The sequence below is a fragment of the Homo sapiens genome, chromosome 10, assembly GCF_000001405.40.
Source record: "Homo sapiens chromosome 10, GRCh38.p14 Primary Assembly".
NCBI classification, from domain to species: domain Eukaryota; kingdom Metazoa; phylum Chordata; class Mammalia; order Primates; family Hominidae; genus Homo; species Homo sapiens.
This window is the reverse complement of record NC_000010.11, coordinates 235,841-258,506: the sequence shown is the minus strand read 5'-3', so window position 1 is coordinate 258,506 and position 22,666 is coordinate 235,841. Positions and strand designations below refer to the sequence as shown.

Sequence of the window (22,666 nt, the reverse complement as noted above, 5' to 3'; positions counted from 1 at the left end):
CAGGTCCGTGACTGCCTCTGAACAAGGGAACTGAATTGGCTGAGACATTTTCACTTTGTAGCTTTTTCAACCTTTACTTTTGTTTCAATTTTAAGACTAAGATAATTTTTTTAAATTCCAGCGTTGGAGAAGACTTGGACCTTCTCTCTCCAGGGGCTCCTGGTTAGATAAAAATAGGTTCCTCTTGTGCCAAACATGATTTCCCTCCGTCTGTTTCCTTCCCGCTTTTCACATTTCTTGGGTCGTCTTCTCTCATCTTCACATCTTGGCCTGCTGCCCTCACTGTGCCGTTGCCCCTGCTCGTCCTCTTAAGCCAGTACCCTCCTTCATTCTGCCTCTGTAACCACGTCAAATCTCCCATAGCTTTCCTATAACTCTTACTACACACCTCTCTAGCAAGCCTCTTTCTAACTTCCCCCCACTTTCAAAAGTATTAATGTTCATTGTAAAAATATGAAGGAGGAAAATAAATCATCCAAAATCGATATGGTTCCTCTGTCCTGTTTCATCTCCAGCCAGCCTCTGCTCACCCTGAAAGGTTCAGCTCACTAGTTCTTTCCCTGAGATTTTATGCTTCCTCTGTATCCTACAGTCCTGCGTTCTGTCTTCATGGCATCTTGCTCACTAGAGTGTAAGCTTTCAAGAGACCGGAGAGGTCTGCTCTGCTCTGCTCATTGCTGTATACCCGACATCCCACATCCCACACAGATGCTGTAGGAGCTCAAGTAGCTCTCACATTGATGAATCGGTGGTTGATGTTTACACAGTGTTTTCTGAATTTCCTCGGCATTCTATAGCTTCTGCTATTCTATCCTTCGTCGTTCCAGGAGGGTAGGGACTACTTCCTGTCCTTGCAAGGCTTTATGAAGCCACCTACAGTCTGTAAAGGACTACCGAAGAGGAGGCGTGGTATTATGAATACCGTGACACCAAGAAGGTCTAGGTCTGTTTTCTCTGCAGTATGGAATTAAGGAGTTCGACTCAAGGGTTCTCAGACTGCCCTTTAGAGCTACAGGGAGACTTAGGATCCCTTGCCAGGGTTGCCTAATTGAAATGTCATTTTGGAGCTTGACTAGATATTTGTAAGCTTTCAAACCTGAGACTTTGAAACATATCAAGAACCTACCCTCAGGTAGGCTTAAATTCTGGCAAGAACTGATTTTTTTTTTTCAGCTTCTTTGTTCCGAGTAAGCTCTAATACATGTTTGCTGTATGAATATCTACTATAGGTAAGGCGCTGATAGGGCATGCTCTGGTCTAAGACAAAGCCCTTATTTTTGGGTTGCTCTGTCCAACGTACCGAATTGAATACAGGTCGCCACCGGCACATGTGGATGAGCATGGCCAGTCTGAATGGAAATATGCAGAAGCTATAAAAGACACACCGACTTTTAAAGACTTAGTGCTGAACATGAATGTAAGCGATCTCATTTTTATGTTAATTACATGTTGAAGTGATATTCTGGATATATTAAGATGCATTATTAATGTCACCTACTTCTGACTTTTCAAATAATGGCTACTAGAAAATCTGAAGTTACATGCATGCCTCGTATATTTTTATTTAATAGTATTGCTTTATGGAGTTTACAATTTAGTGCAGTAGTACTTCATCTCATGAATTTACACACTCCTGAGCACCCGGCCTCTCACGTACTGTCCCTGGCCAGAAGAATCAATACCACCTGGAGGCTCATTAGAACCGGCAGATTTACCGGCCGCACCCATGCCAGACCCACTAAATCAGATTCTGCATCTTTACCAGGTCCTCAGGCGATCTGTGTGCTCACGAATGTTTGAGAGGCTCTGGCTTACTTAAATTACAGTAACAGGCCTCCACTTGTATCGCTCCCCACATTTTTGCTGCTCCAGTCCTACTGGATTAAGGATTCTTAACGTGAGGGTCAACATAATTCTAGGCCTTAGGAATCCACAGAATTTTATGCAGCATTACCTGTGCATGCATGTGTGTGTGCACTTTTCAGGAAAGGGTCCATTGCTTTTTTTTTTTTCCCGCCCCCCCATGTCAGTAAAGCAGTGTTCTCAAAGGATGTTCCCGTCAGCAACACTTAGGAACTTGGGAGCAATGCACATGCTGGAGGTGGAGCCTAGTGGTGCTTTAATAAGCCCTCCAGTGATCCTGATGTCACAAGTTTGGGAACTACTGAATTAGAGACTGAAGGCAAAGAACAGGGCGAGGCCACTTGGTACATCATGGTCTAGTCTGGGTGACCAGGACTGTGAGACTGCCCTGAACCGAGATGGGCATCCAGTGAGCTGGCTGGAGAAGTGGAGTGAGGCAGGGGAAGGTGATGGGTTTGATTCCAGATGTATTGAACTTGATGACTTCAATTTCAAATGTTTGTCAAATAATTTTCTATCCATATATTCAGCCTAGCGTAAGAGTTAAGAAAATGGGTTTTACAATCAAACAGAACTGAGCTTGAGACTGACCTACTGGGTAAATCTGAGCAAGTTATTACATCTTTTTAAACTTCCCTGTTTACACCTATCTTGTCTTGAGTAGCCCGACCAAAGCTATTACTTTCCTCCAGTTGCACACTTTTCCTTCTTGTTTATGAAAAGATCACTTTCACACAAGTATCCTATTTCTAGTTTTATTTTCTTTTAATATTGGAATGTGGCAAAATGCTTTTTATTCTCTAAGCCACTTGCTTCACTACTTCAATTTGGTCGCCCCCAATTACAGAAGCAACCTTGTCACTTCACTCACTCCATACACCCTCCTAGAGGCCTTCTTTCACTTTGCTGTCATCAATGACTGAAATTTTTAGTGATACTCATGTATTATAGATATGGGTTTCATATTTGTCAGTTGGAATTTTTTTATTGAAAAGACTTTTAGAACACAATTCTAATAATTAAGGTCTAGAATCAGAGTTGGCATTTCATAAAATAACAAGTGACACTTTTTTTTTTTTTGAGATGGAGTCTCGCTGTGTTGCCCAGCCAGGCTGGAGTGCAATCGGGTGATCTCGGCTCACTGCAACCTCTGCCTCCCAGGTTCAAGAGATTCTCCCGCCTCAGCCTCCCAAGTAGCTGGGATTACAGGCACCTGCCTTCATGCCCGGCTAATTTTTTTTGTATTTTTGTACAGACAGGGTTTCACCATGTTGGCCAGGCTGGTCTCGAACTCCTGACTTCAGGTGATCCACCCACCTTGGTCTCCCAAAGTGCTGGGATTACAGGCATGAGCCACCACGCCTGGCCGACACCTCATTTTTGAGGACCAGTAAGCCTGTTGCTTAGGAAAATATATCTAGAAGAACAAAGACAAAATGAGGGTGAATAGAATGATACTACTACTACTGTTGGAAACTTTACAATCCTACAGGAACTGGGACTTTAATATTCAGACCTAAACCATCTGATCCCAGTTGTGATACGTCTATCACATGAATGATGAATGATGGCATGAATGATGAAAACCAGAGTACCGACTAAGGCTGGGTTAATGTTGGCACTAAGACCTGGGGCTGGTCAACTACCCACAACTACCATACCAAGAAGTAGATGAAAACAGCAGAGGGTTAGCCTCAGCTGGCCTCCAATTAAGAATCTATTCCATTCTGAGTTGTGTATCTGTTTTTCAGGCTGATTTGCAATAATTGATATGCAGCTGATATAATAATCATCCTCTCCTTATTATATCATGTATGGTCTTTTTGAGATCTGGTGAAAGTAAATTCAATTTATACGTTTAAGTGAACAAATGATGTTTAACACACTGATTTTATATAAAGTTAAGCAGTCACTAAAGAGTGACCCACAGTATGTGATCAACATTTAGCGACGGTAGTATTTGGTTGGGTATAGGGGACTACACTAAATAAACAAATTACTAAAGCTAGTTTTTTTTAAATACATTTATTAACCAATGTTAACACATTAAATGAATCTATATATTGCTAGTCAGAGCAGCTTACAAAATGCCAGAATGCATCATAGAACTGGACAGCCACAATGAATAATTACAATGTGCATAGTGGCTAAGCTCAACACCTCGATATAGCTTTATGATTTGCAGAAAATTTTTAATAATGATTCCTAAAACAATCAATTGTAATTTTACCTAAAACTTTTACAAAACCAGGCCACAATCTCTTTTTTTAATTTTGTTTTTTTTTAAACACACAGTTTTCACGCTGTAGTAACTTGGAAATGTGCAACCGTGTCAACAGAGACAGAAAAGCCAAAGTAACACGAATCTCACTTTCATGCAGCTATCAGTTAAATATTACATACTCTGGAATGATTTTACACCAAAAATATTTCCACAATTACTTGCTCTCATAGGGGTGGATCGAAGTCTTAAAACTTGAAAAACAATCAAAGAAGGTTAAGTGTTCTCGGTTCTGACATCTCCATCAGCGCCACACACTGTGGCAACACTGACTAATTACACAGCAACAAGGAGGGAACGATGATGCCAAGTTACTGCATAATTTAGGTACATTGTATGAAATGGGGCTACTGGGTACTTTTTACAAAATATTGTGCACCATTTGGCAGTAGTTTGTCAATTAACTTGTGTCACCACCATCTGCAACAGCATCAAGATTAGATGGATGATATTTCACAGAAGACTTAGTTACATTTTTATCTTTAGAGTGACCCTGACAAACCTGGAGAATACTTTTTAAAAGGCTTTTCTCCTGATTCTTTCACTTCCATTGTGAGTAATTGCTTTAATAAATATCAAAGGTCTAAATAAATATGTACAAATTATTCTCTAACCTCAAAAAATAACTAAATGATAAATGGGAATTTGACTTGGTCTAAGATCAGTCTTTAAAAATACCACATAAATTGTGAGATATTTTAAAAGAAAAGTAATTTAAGTTTTCCTGGCTGTATTTTATATATCTATGTATAAAAAATCATTATTCAACTATCGATCCATTCCTATTGGTAATGCTTCTTAATCCAGACATTCCGCAAAATACAGACTTTTTACAAATCACGGCATCTTTAATACAAGAAAATTAACATGCATTATTCTTCATTCTGTGTACAGTGATGGAGTTCATTAGTAGGCAATGACCCATTACTACAAACATAACGGCTTCTGTGAAACTTAAGTGCTTTCTCTTCTTTTAGTATTAACTTACGATACATGAGGTGACACCAGATAATAGGCAGTGAGATGATATGTGGGAAGGGAAGGGAAGCATTAAACAAATTCGTATGCCTCATCTATAATTTCACATATGGATAAAGGTAGTTTTTGGCTTTGTTTTTGTTGTTTATTTTGTTACAAGCACTCATGTTAGGACAAAGATGAAATGTGCAAACTTTAAAATTTAAATATTCATTTTCTCTAAGATCCAGCTCAGTAAAAGATTACCCCAGTTCCCTGCAATTTTAAACTACAAGATCAAAGCTAATAATTTGTTATAAAAGTTATATATTGAAAAGAAATAATGAAAAACACAATTGGGAAATATTTAAGAAAAAATATGCAGGACTAGCCCTGCTGTGTCAACCCTGTTCCCTAAATTCAATCATATACCCACTGGTGTGACCAACAGATAATGCCTTTGAACAGTAAATTAAGCTGAACAAAACCAGCTCAACAAGGTTAAGAAAAAAATGTCACATCAAGGTAGTATGTTTTATTTCTGAAACAGTTCTGTAGTTCTTACATTCAGATCTATTCTAAATGTTTCTTTGTTAAACTCACTTGTATTCACCTGTTTTTTAAAGATCTGTTGTTTAAAGGTTAAAATCTCTGTAAAACCTAAAAATGTTTTAAAATTTGCTGAAAATGCAACAAATTCTCAATTAAAATTTATTTAAAATAATACCCTCCACTGATGTTACTTTTACCCCCTGAAAAACTTCGGAGGAGCATTAACAAAAGATTTAAACTACTGTGCAAAATTTCTTCACGAAAAGTGTTTAAAGGCTGGTGCAAAATGGGAAGCAAATTCTAAACAATTTTGGCTTCTTGGAAACAAAAACCGCTGTGTCTGAAAAGAGTAATCATCGGGGTGACTCCGGGAAGGGCCAGCTTCATCTTTTCCGGCGGCAGGTGCGCTTGTGCTCCGCGTGCCAGTGCTCCTGCTGGCACTTGATGGAGCAGTAGGATGTGTTCCAGCAGCAGTGGTACATGGCCTCCTCCTCACAGTTGTAGCACTGCAGGTAAGAAATCGGGGCAGTCTTTAGACTTGGGTGTGGATGTGTAAGCGACTGGTTAAAATGGCAAACTCTTGAGGTGGTGCTTTTAAAAGATCTTTCTGGCTCAACCTTTTGTGGAATCTGAATACGTTTTATGCACAGCAGATGGAAAGGGAGCCCTGGGGATGACTGCAGCTCATGCCTGGTTGTCAGCAAACTCAAGCTGCTGTCAGGTGGTACCTGACACCTCCCGTTTTTTCCATCTCTGTGAGAGTCATTCCCGTTTCTTTTCTTAAAATGCTCTTGACTTCACATCCCTTTCCAGCTACCACTTGCATTTCTCTGCTCCCCACAAGCTCCTTGAAAGACTTGCCTAAACTCCCTATTTCAAATTCTTCTCTCGTCGTTAACATACGCTGCAGTCTTTACTCATACCATGCCACTAATATGCTGCTAGCAGGGTCACTTACAACTTCAAATCTAGTGGCCAAGTCTCAGTCTTCATCTTATTTGGCAATGTCTGGAGATATTTTTGACTGTCACAACTTAAGGGCAGAAGGTACTACTGGCAGACAGAGGCCTGGGATGCTGTTAAACATCCCACCATGTACACCTCCCCCAAAGAATGTTCTAGTGCAAGGGTCCATATACCATGGTTGAACTCTTTGGTCATGGGAGAAGAGAAGAGTGAAAAAAGTAAAGCTAAAGTTCCAAGCTGGGTTGGTGAACTAACAGTAGTACCATGAACAGACACCCACAGTGAGGCAAGGAAGATGAGAGACCTTCTGGATGTAAACAAACACTTGACAACAGGTCAGTATAAATATGAAAGTTCTGTAGATAGACACATGCAGATCTGACGGCTGTTGAGAGCCCTGGAGGAAGAACCCAGGGAGACTAGCCTACATTTGATACCTAAACATTCTAATTTCCTTCCTGTGTATTGTGTGCATTATTATCCATTATGTCAGCAAGTGCACCTTCAGAAAAATCCCCATTAGGTGCAGAGTCAGTTTTGGAAACGGCTTGGATGAGGCGTGTCGGGATTCACATCTGGGGTCTGTGCCACCCACTGGTCATGTGGCTTCAAGTTATTTAACTTCTTAGTTTCCTCATCTTTCAGACTTTACACAGCACCACCATCCCTTCTCCCAAATACCCTATTATTTCGTTTTCAATTTCTCCCTTTCTGGGGATATATTTAATGGATACATCTATCTGTGTTTCTCGTGACATCCATTATTCGGCATCTGGCATACCTACATGCTTTCTGTCCTATAATACTACTCTATTTCTTACAACAATGTAAGATGTAATTGGGAAGAAAGAATTCTTGATTCTTTGAGAGTGAGTCTCGCTCTGTCGCCCAGGCTGGAGTGCAGTGGCACAATCTCAGCTCATTTTGATCTCTGCCTCCTGGGTTCAAGAGATTCTTCTGCCTGAGCCTCTCAAGTAGCTGGGGTTTCAGGCACACACCACCACGCCCGGCTAATTTTTGTATTTTTTGTAGAGATGGGGTTTCACCATGTTGCCCAGGCTGGTCTCAAGTGATCTGCCCACCTCGGCCTTCCCAAGTGCTGGAATTACAGGTGTGAGCACCGAGCCTGGCCGAGAAGAAAGAATTCTAACCCTTTTACTAGAATGTGATGAGCACAAAAAGCTCAGCTCTGCCAACTAGGTTTTTAATCATTCTATTTAATCTCATAAGCCTCAAATTCTTCATCTTAAAGAAGAGTACAAAAATACCCACTTTAGCTGTTTCACAAATGGTAAAGTGCTACAAAAGACAGTATTATAATTATAGCCTCTTCTTCCCATTTTCTTGATTCTTTAGTAAACTTAAGAGATTTCTACTCATAAGAATTTTTTAAGAGACAGGGTCTTGCTCCATCGCCCAGGCTGGAGTGCAGTGGTGCAATGACACCTCTCTGCAACCTTGCACTCCTGGGCTCAACCAATCCTTCCACCTTGGCCTCCCAAAGCACTGGGACTACGGGCATGAGCCACTGCACCTGGCGTCTTTGGGTGTTGTGCTTCTGTTATCTTCAGCACACCTTAATTCCCATCTAATGATATTGTGAGAGTTGATCACACAAATTCAGTCATTCTTGTCATACCCAACTAAAACTGAGTTGAGAAGCTGGGGGGAGAAGCACCTGGAACACAAAATGTTGGCTGCAGCTCTCAGACTAGTTTTGCCGACTGCCATCCCTCACCAGTCAGAGCTTGTCAGCTCCTCAAAACCTTACGAGCAGCAGTGAAATTTCTTAAAGAAGAACATGGAAAAGTTATTCGGAAAGCACGCTTTCACTTGTACTGAAGGCTATAACACCCAATGTGCAGGTTGTTTTTTTAACAGAAAATAAAGTTCTCTTTTTCCCTCCACAGATCTCCTGGTCTTTTGTTAACAATATTTATTTTGTTATTCACCAGCTCTTCCTACCAAGTTATCTTCATCTATTCGAAGTTTCCATTTTCCTTCTTGCCAAATCTTTGTCACAGATTTAAAAATATTTCTTTCATGAAAAGCTTATGTGTATTTATATAATATAGGCTTGATAAAATGAAGAATTAGTTTATCACAAAACTTTATATAGTCATTTATTAAAACTGAAACCAAGTTATGAGCTTTCGGGAGCAAAACTTTTCCCTAATTCACTGAGCACTGTGGCGGCTGTAGGACGAGCACTTGGACCCTGTGCACTCAGAAGCTCCCACTCTAGTGGGGAGGATGAGACTGGCGAGCAGGACACGATGACAAATGATACTAGTCAGGTATGAGGGAGGGTAGTTAGAGACCAATGAGATGTCACTACTATAAAGTAAAAGTAACTGATTTCTTTAACAAAATCTAATGTATAAATGTTAAGTGCAGGGAAATCTGAAACTATTTATTGTGATAATTACATTTATAATTTCACCATTTGGATGTTACCCATCTGAAATCACCAGGTAAAAGTCAGGGCCAGCCACTTTGCCCAAATAAAATATATGCATAGATGGAGAAATTATATAAGTTAATTGTAATAAATATGTACTAAGGTATTATAATCTCAATTTAACAAAATAATCCTGAGCAGTACACAGTAATATGGGATCTGGGGTTGAGAGATCATAGGACTTTTAATAAAATTTTTAAAACTAAAGCTGACCATTTCACATTTGATCTTATTTCAGAAACATCTTCTGCATGTGCCACAGCTACCTTCTGAATTAACGGGCATCATACCTGTGGTACATTTTCAGAAATAAGGGTCTAAAAAAGACTGGTATTTACCCACTGCTTCTTCTTGGTCTGAGAAATCAGTTGCTTGTGCTGTGTTGCCAGCTTCTTGATTTCTTCTACAAATTCTTCCTTACACTTTTCCTTTACTTGCTTACATTTTCTGTCCATCTCACCCTGCATGTTGGCTACAGCTTTATTTACAGCTTGTCTCTTTTCTTCTTCCATTTCAGAACGCAGCTGGAATGAAAAGACAACCCACAGTGCGTCAGCACACAACTTAACACAGACCATCTACACTGGAACAGAAACTTAACACAACTTGCATGAGGTACCTTTTTTCCCCTTCATTACATGTGTAAAAAATTTAGGTGAGGAAAGTATCATTATTACTTGAAATGCTGTAAAAGATACTGGTGTCATTATATGGCTACATGTAAAAGCTGCTACTGGGTTGATGCATGAGTGAAAGGAGCCTAACCATGACAGGAGTGCCGGCTGCAGCAGGGCACCCACAGTGGCGACAAGCATTACCTTCTCCAGAGCTTCTCGGACAACACGCTCTGTCTCCCGCTTGTGGTCCGACTTCATCCGGTCTTTGAAGTCATTGAAGATCTTGGTGTATTTGTCATGGCACATGCTCTGACACACGCCGTCGTTTGTGGTCTGGGTGCTCCGATGCAGCATTCTTGGTGAAGAGGCACTTAACTTCTTTGTCTGAGTTGACACGGAGACTTTTTCGATGGGCTGAGGCATCGTGGGTATTTCCTGGCTAGAACTTACTGCTTCTGTTTCAGGCTCTGGTTCCTAAAAGGTGAGACAAGAGTTTAGACGCCAAACGAAGCCACATAATTCACCAGTTCAAGAACTACCCCATTCGGATAAAAATTCAGTGATATACATAATAGCCATAGAATAAACTGCTGTTGAAAAATGTAGTTAGGGTGGTAGATGTCACGTATATTTTGCCACAATTTAAAAATAAACAAATCTCCCCCAATTAGTGAATGAAAAGAACATGCAATTAACAGCTACAATAATTATAAACATAAGCTTCATTTATAATTTTACTTATCAATACTATAAGTTTTGTTTTTAAAATAAACTAAACACAGAAATTTATAGAATATAAAAATTATTGTCAACTTATAATTACTTCATTGGACTAGATTCATTAACACATTTCCTCAAATCCTAAACCACTTCTCACTGAATATGTGTTTGAAATGTGCCCAGATTTACAGTTTTAAAACATGCAGGGCTTATATCACTTAAAACGGCTGAGCTCAACCACAGTCTCCTTCAAGTTTTTAAATGTTGGCACAACTGATATACTGGATAAATGTGTTGTTTTTAATCATACTTAGGAAAAATATCAGAGCTCCCAGGAAATGTATTAATAGCAATGTGCCCTTCCTACTTAGCCAAGCTTTGGTCAGCGGCTGCTTAATTAAGATGGAGACTTGGAGCATGTACGCTATTCCAGGGTAACAGATAATGACAGGGAAGTCAGAAGACTGGTTTCAACTTGATGGATATGATTTGACTGACAGCAGCTGAATTTCACAAGTATCCACCAAGAGTGACTGTCTTTGAAATACTTTGAAAATACAAAATACTTTGAAAATATTTCCTGTTTCATTTGCCACCTGGATACTGCGAGGTGGGCAACTTACTTCCTTTTTGGGCTCCACACTTTGATTACGTCGTCCTTTCTTTGCTCTTGGTTCTTGAGTGACCTTTAGCTGTGGGCATTATAAAAGTAATATATTATTCCAGACACTAGAAAATACTTCTCTGCTGAAAACACTCATAGTGGACCCACAGGTGAGAAGTGAATACATTTCTACCTTTTGCATCCTTCCATCCACTCAGTTACCACTGACTTAATTTACTGTTCTGGTAACTGTAGGCTTGAAAGAGCCAGCGCACCTTCAGAGAGGAGCACTTGTACTTAACTCTCTTGGTACTGGCAGGGTCAAGGTCATTGATTGTTACATCTATGTATTCATTTGAACTGCTTTTGGTTTAGTTTTGCAGAGCACTTTACAAATGTAAAAAAGGGAAGGAGAACGTCAAAATCTGTTCATTACAGTGAGGAGTGTGCACTAAGATTTCTGCATTTAAAAGTAATAATGAATAGGCACTTCCTTCCGGAGACACACTCACCTGCTCATTACTGGTGGAGGAGATACTGGATTCTGCCTCTTCCTCACCTCGGTCCTCATTCTTAGATTTCCAAAATCTCCCTTCTCGTAGGAAACGCTGATGCAGCTCCAGCTCATCACAGGCCTTTTTCCAACCCATACTGCGCTTCACGTGCAGCCGATGAATGTTGACTGTGATATCTTGAATGTTTTCAGAAGGAATCCAGGCCCTAGGAAAAACACATAAAGGTATAGTTAGAAACATCCCAAATGGCAGGAAGGGTGGTAAAAGAGGGCTTCAGTGGACCCTGCCTGCCATAAAGTGCGACCTGTGGCAGTTCTCGTCTGTTAGCTTGGTGCAAAAGCAATTGTGGGTTCTGCCGTTACTTTTAATTGCGAAAACCACAATCACTTAGGCTTCGTCATGGCTTGAATAAATAAACTGTTACCAAGCGGAAAATAAATGAGATTTGTTTTGTCTTTCACAGTCGACAAAAGTTCTCAGAACTGGATTCACAAATGCCTCCCAATTGTTCACAATTCAATCAGCTTAGCTTGTCCTAGTTCATATCTGTATTCTTCATAAGTCCTTTTAAAGTTATTTGTTGTTCTGAATACTGTAAACTAATATAACCCATCTAGCTATTTGCCGTTAGCACTAAAGAATCACTTGAAAATGCCCAAAAATTTTCATAAGATACATACATATATTCATATAAAATGGGAAGATCTAAAAATATTATCCAGTAAGTCATATTTGTATCATGCCTCTACTCATTAGAGAAACCAGATGAACACACAGAGCCACTGATTATTTAGCCACAGTGTACTTAGCTGTGAACATAAGTGCGATACATATCTAAAACTAGAGCAGGACAACTACATTTGCTTCTGTTGGAAAGAACACTTTTTCCTGGGCATTGGTCTCTTTCTCGGCTTAAATTTGTATCCATCCCAAATGTTGTGTTCAACAGATGTTTACTGTGTACCAGGGGAAGGCACTAAGAAGAATGGAAAAGTGAATGGGGTCTACGTGATCTTGAGTTTCATTGCCTCATTTGACAGCGGCAAGAGATGCTGCCCACAGGTGTTAAGGTAAACTATTAGTGGTTGGAATCTCTCGGGTCTTCTGATTATTAGGATGGCACTTCCTACACTGCCTCTGCCTTTGAGGGACTTACAATTTTGTCAGAAAGAACTAAGGAATAATTATAATGCAATGCAGCAGGTGGTAAAGGTACTCTAGGGTGCTATGGAAAGGAACAGTTAACATTTGGTTGTGAGTGGTCAGAACATTTTATTCGGCCTTGGTCTTGGAAGATAAGATTTAGACAGCAGACAATGTGAGTGGAGAGATTCCAGGCAGAGGGAACATCACAAATGAGGTAGGAAACTGTATGGATGCATGAGTAACAGACATTTTCTACGGTAGAGTACAAGTTGCGATATGGTACTATAAACACACGTATTTATGCTTTTCAGTTTTCTGTTAAAGATTTTTTCCTGCTATAAGTATATATGATATCACAGTTTTCATCCCTGGCCTGTAATTATAGCGCTCCAGAAATCCTGGGCCTATGACTGTTGGAAGGAATCTCTTAGGGAATCATGGCCACATGTGCCTCAGCCATAAATAACCATTTCCACTTCCTTGTACAAGCCAAGCTTTATAATCTAGAAGCACACTTTAAATATACAATAATCTATATCATTAGATGCTAACAACAGCTAAAATTGTTAGAGTTGAACTTCCATAACATTATTTATGAATATATTGTTAATATTATATCAACTATGTCTCATCTGGCATAAGTACTTTGTTAAAAACCATATCAAAGTAAACTGAACTTTGAAAAACTAAACTCTAATGCAGAGTACACATGAAATCATGCTTGTGGAATAGTTTCTTGCCATTAGATTTTGAATATATTTACTCTTCCAATCAACAGATATTTACTGATTTCCTATTATGTAGTAGGAATTCAATAAAAGTGGTTTGTTCACTTTTTCAAAGTAGTTTGCTTTTGAGAGAGAATTCTGTTACAAGCAGTGCTGACTACCTGGAATGAACTTGTATCTGTAAGAGTATTTTCCTTATTTATCTTAAATAAAGTGGATTCACATCTGTTCTTTAAATGTACTTCTATTCTCCTTTAATCAACTCCAGTACTGTAGATAATTTTTTAAACTGAAATCTGATTATCACGGGGTATGCTCTCTGATCTACAAAAAATAAAAAAGCAAACACCCGCAATTTAAGGTAAGTCTAATAACAAGAGGAATAGTCTAATCTGGCTCTATGTCTGCCAATGCTCTAACTACATTTGCAGAATAAAATGGTTCTGTGATCTGATGTCAGTGAGCCCGAAGTGCTCTACCTCTTTTTTGTCTGTACCTGGTTTCCTGGCCTGGGCCATGCCATCCACCAGCCACTCTCGCAGCAGAAAGATCTAGCCTCCTTAAGACAGGTCTTATCAGCTACTTTTCTTTGGCAGGCGAAATCTTGCAAATCCTACAAAAAGCTCACTAAAGCAGCTCTCACATGTAAACACAATCATACTCGACTCTTTTGCTGGAGATTTACAACGTGCTCATTGTCTCCGACGAGCAGCATATTCTATTTGCGTGTCTAGGAGGGAATGGTACAAAACCATTCATTTTTTTTCCTCCCATTTACATGTAATGATATGATGGACTAGCAGAAGAATAATTAGCCAAAACTTGCAACCAGTGGCTCCTGATCAACCAGAACCTTTTGAGCATAAGTTGCTTAAATAATTAAAAATTCATGATTATAATTGTATCAAATTTTTTAAAATAAACATTCTAATATGGAAGACTATAAAGTATATCCTAACCAGTCCTTCACTTCAAATTGTTCACATTGTATCCAGGAAAAAGGAAAATGATTTTACACAGTGAGTTTGTCAACCTCTCTTATTTTCTAAAATAAAGTCCTCAAGAGTCCCATCTGTCTAGAACTATTTACATAAAATCTTCCAGGACCTAAGAAGCTTGACGGAAAAAAAATACCTCTGAAAATGTAATCTGATGTTTCCTAATTCTCTCTTCAGGTGACAGACTACTCTAGGACTGCTGCAGATTAGCACCATTATTATTATTATTTTTTTGAGACGGAGTCTCACTGTGTCGCCCAGGCTGGAGTGAAGTGGCACAGTCTCTGCTCACTGCAAGCTCTACCTCCCGGGTTCACGCCATTCTCCTGCCTCAGCCTCCCAAGTAGGTGGGACTACAGGCACACACCACCACGCATGGCTAATTTTTCATATTTTTAGTAGAGACGGGGTTTCACTGTGTTATCCAGGATGGTCTCGATCTCCTGACCTCATGATCCAGCCGCCTCGGCCTCCCAAAGTGCAGGGATTACAGGCGTGAGCCACCGTGCCTGGCCTAACCCAAATATTCTTTAAAAATATTTTCTGCATAGTATACTGAATGACATCTAACAAGTTAACTCATTATTAATATCACTCATGGTTGAAGACAGTATAAAGCTACTTGCAAGTTGATGAAAAAGAAAAATATATAGATAAAAAGTTCTAATTATCAGATTATTCTTACCTATTAGTATGGCTATAAAAATAACTGAATTCTTGTTTTTTCTAAGTTAACTGTGTTTTATTTAATGTGAAAAACATTGAAGCAAACTTTCCCCCGTTATTCCTTGAATATCTGTTGTATTATAAAAGCTGACATTTATTGAGTACTCACTATGTGCTAGGTACTATGCTCAGGTCTCTCTGTAGCAACATTTCTTTAAACCTTACAAAAACTCTTATGAGGCCTTTATTTTGCTAAGGCTCAGAGAAACTGACTAATGTATCAAGATTAGGGTAGAAGACAGTGAAGCAAGAACACAATCTCACATAAAGACTTACCCTAACCTACCAAAAATACATTATTTCCTTGCCTATTCTGATAAGAAACTGAAACCATCCGAGTATGATGTATTAAGCATATGTTAAAAATTACCACTTAATGTAATTAAAACATTCATTTTGTATTGAGTTATTTTATTGGATCATTATTTAATGTTTCTTGACATGACAGTGTCAGGTAAGTGTGTATCTACCTATGAAAGAACAGAACTACCTTCTGGGAAATTTACAGTATTTATAGGTTTCTTATAACTACACTTCTGTTTAAATTAAATTAATGAAGACTAAGTAAAAATTTACCACAGGGAGGAGTAAGGTCCCTCATTGTGTAGCTTCTCTATGCACTAATAACCTCCTGGCATGACAGGAGACACCTCATGGACTGTTCATTTAAATCCTTACAAAGTATGACTTTTAGATCATGTAGCTGGTTTCTGTCACTTTTTCACCTTATCTCAATATCTGTGTTAAATGAACCAAATAAATTGCATGTGAATTCTTTATTCCTATTATGGCTTATTTCCACGCACGCTTCAGGTATTTACACACATTGTAAGATCACAAGATTGACGATTTTAGTCTATATGTCTTTAACTGAGCCTTGAAGATGGCTGGAGCAACTAGAGTAACTGTGAATATGGTAATGGTAATTCCATTACCATATTATGGAATGGACACATTCTGAGGCCCTTCTGCCCACTGTACTATAAATTCAGTCTTAACCGTAATGTGCTTCTGAAGTTCAACAGTGTCAGTTATTAAAAATTCCTGTTTAGTACACAATATCTGAAAAATATCTGGAAACAATTTATCTTGGAACGTATTCTTGGATGCATAATGTGTTTTTTTTTTCCAATTTAAAATAAACTTCATGCATCTCTGATGGAGAAATCATCAAACTTTCTTAAGGACTTCATAAGCACAGCTGTGACCGCTGAACATGGGATCACAAATTACCTCTGGTGGTGGTGGCCAAAGAAGCGAACGTCGACTTGATTGTCTTCTTTCTGCATGACTTTGGCTGGCCAAAACCCAAAACCTTTCATTTTAGCCCAAACCAGCTCATGATTAGGTATCTGGAAATTAAATGTTTTACCTTGTTATATTACTTTTAAAGTATTAAATGCAAGTGTACCATTAATATTAAACTAGTCACATATAATCCATTATTTCTAAAATATTTCTTTCATAACTCCTAAACACATACGAGATTTTTTTTCTGGGATTGACTGATTTTATATTTGCATCAGAGTGCCAACATGAACCTTATTCCTCAGAAGAGGTCGGGACTGGAGCAAGGCCATCCACATGTATGACGGTGGCAAACAAGAGCACCCGCTTGGCCAAGTGCAGCTGGGGAGCCAGCAGCTCCAGCACCCCTGGGAATTTGTTAGAAATGGGGAAATTTTAGGCTGGCACAGTACTGTCTTCACAGGGCTGGCTTCTCTCAGGCAGCCAAGGCTGCCGGCCAAGAATGCTCAGAATTCCCTTTGTCAGTGCACGGTTTGAAGCTGTATTATTTTGGGGAAATTATACAGCTACAGACAAAGGCAAAGCCTTAGGTCTCTTGTGAAAGGATGAAAGGAGAAACAAAAATTCACTTTATTAAGGGACCCAGACGCTGGGTGTGGTGGCTCATGCCTGTAATCCCAGCACTTTGGAAGGCCGAGGCGGGAGGACTGCTTGAACTCAGGAGTTTGAGACCAGCCTGAGCAACATGGTAAAACCCCATCTCTACAAAAAATACAAAAATTAGCCAGGTGTGGTGGCGTGTGCCTGTGGTCCCAGCTACTCTGGAGGCTGAGGTGGGAGAATCACTTGAGCCTGGAGGAGGTCAAGGCTACGGTGAGCTGAGATCACACCACTGCACTCAAGCCTGGGCGACAGAGTGAGACCCTGTCTCAAAAAGAAAAAGGACCCAATATTTATTTTTATTCAGTATCTCATTTTAAAATCAGAAATGGATAACAAGCCCTGTTACTTTTTTTCAGTTGTTTATACTCATTAAACCCATATATACTATGATATTTTAAAAATTTAGGAAGAAAATTATAATCTTTAACCAAACTGGAAATAAACTTCCTTAGAGCTGTATGTTACACACTTGAGGTAAAAATTTCACATACACAAGGATAACAGAACCAGTTGTCAGGACGAGCATTTGACAAGTAAAAGCAATTCTTGCAAAGCTGCAGTTCATCCAGCTGAAAAAGAAAAGAAACTACTTTAGCCTACATAAAATATACATACACATTAAACTATATAAAATGTATCCATGTAAATTAACATTCACGTATATAAATAGTGTTGAATTTTGTTTCTTAATCTTTTAAGCCTAAATTTTAAAGTTTTCAATAAATGGTACTGGAAGACCCTGTCACTGTCCTCTTAGAACCATGTCGCTGGTCTCAGGCCACAGTTGGAACAGAAGCTGAGGCTGGTCTGACTGGGCCCTGCCCGGACCTCACTGGTTAGCACTTCAGACTGAATATTCCTCAGGAAGGTAACAATATCTGCTGCCAATCACAGCAGTCCTTACCTTTGCCTCATGTATGTCAAACATGAAAATAAAAGACCTTTTTTTGTTTTGTTTTGAGACAGAATCTCATTTTGTCACCAGGCTGGGGTGCAGTGGCGCAATCTTGGCTCACTGCAACCTCCACCTTCCACGTTCAAGCGATTCTCCTGCCTCAGCCTCCCGAGTAGCTGGGACTACAGGCGTACACCACCACACCCAGCTAATTTTTGTATTTTTAGTAGAGACAGGGTTTCACCATGTTGGCCAGGATGGTCTCGATCTCTTGATCTCGTGATCCGCCCAACTTGGCCTCCCAAAGTGCTGGGATTACAGGCGTGAGCCCCCACGCCCGGCAATAAAAGACATTTAAAGGAAATGGCACAACTAAAATGTAGATAAGAGTGGAATCCTGAAATAAATTAATTTCAGTTATAGAAAGAGTATAACTATTGGGCAATGAATAGTACCTCATGACATGTGTCTTTATATAGCATCCTCGCAATGTCAGCTTGCTCACTGTCTGCTGTAATTAAAAATAGATATTACCTATAAGCAATAGTCTGCAAATACAAGACTCAAAGTTACTATCCTTTTCTTTCAGTTTGCAAAAGTAGACATCTACCATTTCAAACCAAAATGTCCATTTAAAATAACGATAGCAAAATAAAATTACACAGGCAGCTTTTGTTTTCCATCCAATACAACCACTAATTCTCAGGGTATAGAGAATGACCTTACCTTTGGATGATGTGGTACTAGTGGGGAAATGATCAGAATTAATCATAGTGCTTATTAAAAACCTCTCAGCTAAAACAAATACATATAAAACTGTAAAGAGTAATTGTGTTTTCATCATTTAGTATACTATGATTTTGTTTTTGGCCAGTCCATTCTATAATCTATATCACCAGATATTCCTAACCTTATACTCTAAACTTGTAGATCATTAAGGTATTAATTCTTTGAAAGTAATGTTTTATAAAAGATAGTGTTCAACATGGAATGTAAATGGTGTGTTTAAAAATGCATACAAAAAAAACAAAAATATTCAACCTCCATAGAAAATCACGGTATTGTGGAGAAGCAATTGGGCATCAGCTTTGAACTCTTCATAACTTCGGTATTTCCCTTCATTCACTTTCTGCAGAGGGCAAAAAACAGAATGACGAAAAGAGTTACCAGTAAAAATACTTGTCTGGACTAAGTTCACAGGACAAGCAGTCTTTTCTAGGATGACATCAGGATGACTACTGCCATCCCACAGTATTGACAGAGAATGTGTGTAAAAGAAGCCAACAACGCCACCTGCGGTTTTAATAATATAGTATAATGAAGCATGGCAGGTCAGATATCCCGCAGCCACAAAGACACTACATTAATTTATCAGAGTGAACTTTAATGGCTTGAACATCTCATTTGACAATAATGTAGAAAGCTGCTGCTAAGCTTGGTAGTGCACGAATGCTTGGGCCAGTGTGGGCGGTGAGACCCTAAGCACACACCTGTCATTCTTTACAACACAGGAGGATCGAGATTGAAAACAGAACTGTTAGCCTCTGTGACAGTTTACCATAACTACTAAGATATATTTATAGTTCTGAATTGGGGCTAGGAATTGGTTTATAAATAATTTTAAAATAACATCTCAGGTGTCCCTGTCTGTGACAAATCTTAGAGGATTTCAACAGGAAGGAACCTGCATGAGTAAAGGCAGTGGGGAAGAAGGGGCGTCTGGGTTCTTACATATTCTGTAGAGGTCTTACAGTTTAGAAGGGGCTATGGCTGGGGGTAGGAGGTAAAATTAAAACTACTTGGTTTTGTTCCAGGATTTACCAGTTACTTTAAGGGAAAAACCTTCATTTACCCTTATCTTATATTGAAATAATACAGCCACAGTCTTTCTTGGGTACTAAAGAAACTTGTGGCCGGGCGCGGTGGCTCACGCCTGTAATCCCAGCACTTTGGGAGGCCGAGGCGGGCAGATCACGAGGTCAGGAGATCGAGACCATCCTGGCTAAAACGGTGAAACCCCGTCTCTACTAAAAATACAAAAAATTAGGTGGGCGTGGTGTCGGGCGCCTGTAGTCCCAGCTACTCGGGAGGCTGAGGCAGGAGAATGGCGTGAACCCGGGAGGCAGAGCTTGCAGTGAGCCAAGATCACACCACTGCACTCCAGCCTGGGCGACAGAGTGAGACTCCGTCTCAAAAAAAAAAAGAAAAGAAACTTGTAAGATGATTTAAAATTATTCCTGTGGTCTCCCTATAGGCTATAATGACCAAGCGTTAAGATTTTAAATTTCCAACATGACACATGAGGTGCAAAATCAGTAATTCAGTAACCCTGACTGCAAATATGTCTACGTGTTCTACTGGATGTTGTTGCAATTTGTTACTGGACGTGAACAAACTAACAATCCTCAGCTATAGTTGGTAAAATTAAGACCTTTAAGAATAATTAACTTTTCTAATCATAATTTTTTTTGTTCATTTTATTGTTTCCCAAGACGGCAGATCAGTTCTATGCTTTACTTTTTTTTCTGAGAGGAACTCTCAGGTACCACTGCTAAACCTGGAAAACATTCTTTACATCTGAAATGCTAAATTGCCCAGGCTGTAAGGCATTTTCTTAAATCAACAAGGATCAAGAAGCTACAAGCTGCTCATCTTTAAAACCAGGCCTTTTAAAGATGACACCTAATTTGCATTAGAGTAAGCACATGAAATTTACAAATTAATAATGCTTCATTTGGTAGTTATGCCTGTCTTTTGTTTTAGGAAGTGGAAAAAAGTACACTTTCAAGGAAAGAAGAGCAACCAAAATCTGCTTAACTGCTACATTATTCTTTAACTTGTTAGTTAAGAAAATGTACTTGAAGTGGAAATAAAAGAAACCGACTTTACCTCTTGAATGGTGGGAACGTCCACAGCTGAGTGCACCAGCCTCCTGTACATCGGGTGTTTATTGTCCTTCCCCTTTTTATTAAGATCTATAGCCTAAGAGGGTGTTAGTACATCAATTTAAATGTGGTTAAAGGAAGGCAGGTAAGACATCAATTCCTAAAGCTCAAAATATTTTCTACCTTTTTATTTTTTATTTTTGTAGAGACAGGGTCTTGCCATCTTGCCCAGGCTGGTCTTGAACTCCTGGGCTCAAGCAATCCTCCTGCCTTGGCCTCCCAAAGTGCTGGGATTACAGGCGGGAGCCACGGCGCCCGGCCAATATTTTCTACCTTTAAAGCAAAATCTCAGAGGAAGTACTTTAAAACTTAACAGAAAAAATGTACATATACTACTATATAGTTTAATATGACATTCCTTAAAGTTGTGATAGAATAGTTATTTTGAAAAATTGCCTTTCATTTTAAAGAGTCATCATCAATGAAAATGTTCATTCTGATGAATGAAATTCAAAAATGTAAATGTTTCTAATCTCATGTAGCTTATGTCAAAATGTCTATGTCCAAAACAGACAAAACAAGAAAATCTAACTGCCTGTTATAGAACTGTTTACTGCAAAAAAGAAATATGACATGACGGGGTGCTCTCCACACTTCATATTGCTATGTACATATTTGTTACTTCTCGATCATTCAACTTTGAAAGAATGAACCATAGTAAAATGTGTTTTGGGATATTTTGAAAGATTCCCTGAGCAGGACTCACCCTCTCCTTCATGCGGGAGACAATGAATCTGAGGTATGTGCCCATCTCCTGTTTGTTTGTATTCTTCTTCTTAATGCTCTATTGAAAAAAAAAGAATAAAAAAAGGTACAAAATCTGATCATTCTTATGTCTATATTCATGTAAAAGACATATATGAAACACTTAGATAGTATGCAAAGAGTTTACTAAAAGTGCTCTTTTTCCAACATATCTGACAGAAATCTTTGACATTTGCATAAAAAAAACAGCATCTAATGTAACAAGGTGAGAACTTTAAAATATTATGTTGTACCTGATATAATATCCTTACAGGATTATATATTTTTTCTTTTCTTGGTATTTTAAAACTTAATTTTTAGATAAACAAATAATAGACATAAGGGATAATCGCTTATTTTACAAACAATATCAATGGCCTAAGTCCTTTGAGGGAACATCTTAAATTAGCAATAATGAATGGTGAATTTCAATACAACATTATTCTTCGTTTAAAAGGTAATTTTAAAAATCTGTGTCACTCACTTTGCACAGCGCAGCTGCATACTAACATCTCCATTTCTGAGCACCATGGATCTACTCAGTAATAACTCCAACTCTTAGTCTAGCCTGCAAGCTAATTAGGTTCCTCAATTTATTGCACCAAAAAAGTCTAACTTCACATGAAGAAAAAATAGGATTCTACGCATGTTATTTCTAAACAGCTAGGAAACAAGGACAAGTGTGCCTATTTCCTTAGTCAAAGTCCCTGATATTACAACAGCCTAAAGGAAGCAAAGGCAAAACTCCAGGCACGCGAACATCATCAGTTCATACTGCAGAGGAAATGAGTGGGTGTGGCCACTATTTTAATAGATGCTTTAACTTTTTCAGGTCACTAGATAATGATTCTCTGCCCAATGGTATAATTCTTCCTGAAAGAACTGTAAGCATAGGAAGTCACTTCAGTACACTAAATACAGTAGAGGAAAGGACAAATATTTCTCACATAACTGAGAACTTTTAGCTAGGGCTTAAGTGAATTGATTATACGTACGTACACTGTTTATAAACACATAAAATATCTAAATAACAAGTG

At 38.9% G+C, this 22,666-nt stretch overlaps 1 protein-coding gene and 1 long non-coding RNA gene across 39 annotated transcripts in view, besides 1 other annotated feature; one reads left to right on the top strand and one right to left on the bottom strand.

Moving 5' to 3' along the window:
• The window catches only part of ZMYND11 (zinc finger MYND-type containing 11), a 124,550-nt gene continuing 105,753 nt past the window's right edge, over window positions 3,870-22,666 (bottom strand). For 21 of the 38 annotated variants that reach the window (NM_001370103.2, NM_001370104.2, NM_006624.7 and 18 more), the window contains 11 exons: window positions 21,592-21,669; window positions 20,830-20,922; window positions 18,982-19,069; window positions 18,396-18,451; window positions 17,537-17,614; window positions 16,368-16,486; window positions 11,534-11,741; window positions 11,041-11,109; window positions 9,899-10,171; window positions 9,419-9,604; window positions 3,873-6,159 (listed from right to left, as the gene is read on the bottom strand). In NM_001370103.2, coding sequence (NP_001357032.1) covers window positions 6,037-6,159; window positions 9,419-9,604; window positions 9,899-10,171; window positions 11,041-11,109; window positions 11,534-11,741; window positions 16,368-16,486; window positions 17,537-17,614; window positions 18,396-18,451; window positions 18,982-19,069; window positions 20,830-20,922; window positions 21,592-21,669 — 1,371 coding nt within the window. In that variant the 3' untranslated portion in view covers window positions 3,873-6,036. Of the gene's footprint in view, window positions 6,160-8,716; window positions 9,605-9,898; window positions 10,172-11,040; window positions 11,110-11,533; window positions 11,742-16,367; window positions 16,487-17,536; window positions 17,615-18,395; window positions 18,452-18,981; window positions 19,070-20,829; window positions 20,923-21,591; window positions 21,670-22,666 lie in introns of those variants that run through there. The other 17 variants (NM_001370113.2, NM_001202465.3, NM_001370114.2 and 14 more) reach the window with 9 other exon arrangements.
• Window positions 8,980-10,179: an enhancer, noted in NCBI's record as "BRD4-independent group 4 enhancer chr10:294268-295467 (GRCh37/hg19 assembly coordinates)". NCBI's record gives its function as "activates an origin of replication core promoter dependent on BRD2, P300/CBP, MED14 and CDK7 cofactors, and independent of BRD4, by STARR-seq in HCT116 cells {active_cell/tissue: HCT116}" and the evidence as "EXISTENCE:reporter gene assay evidence [ECO:0000049][PMID:35650434]".
• Window positions 9,604-15,913, top strand: LOC107984190 (uncharacterized). Its single transcript, XR_007062025.1, has 2 exons — window positions 9,604-9,695; window positions 12,486-15,913. It is a non-coding gene; the product is annotated as an uncharacterized LOC107984190 (long non-coding RNA).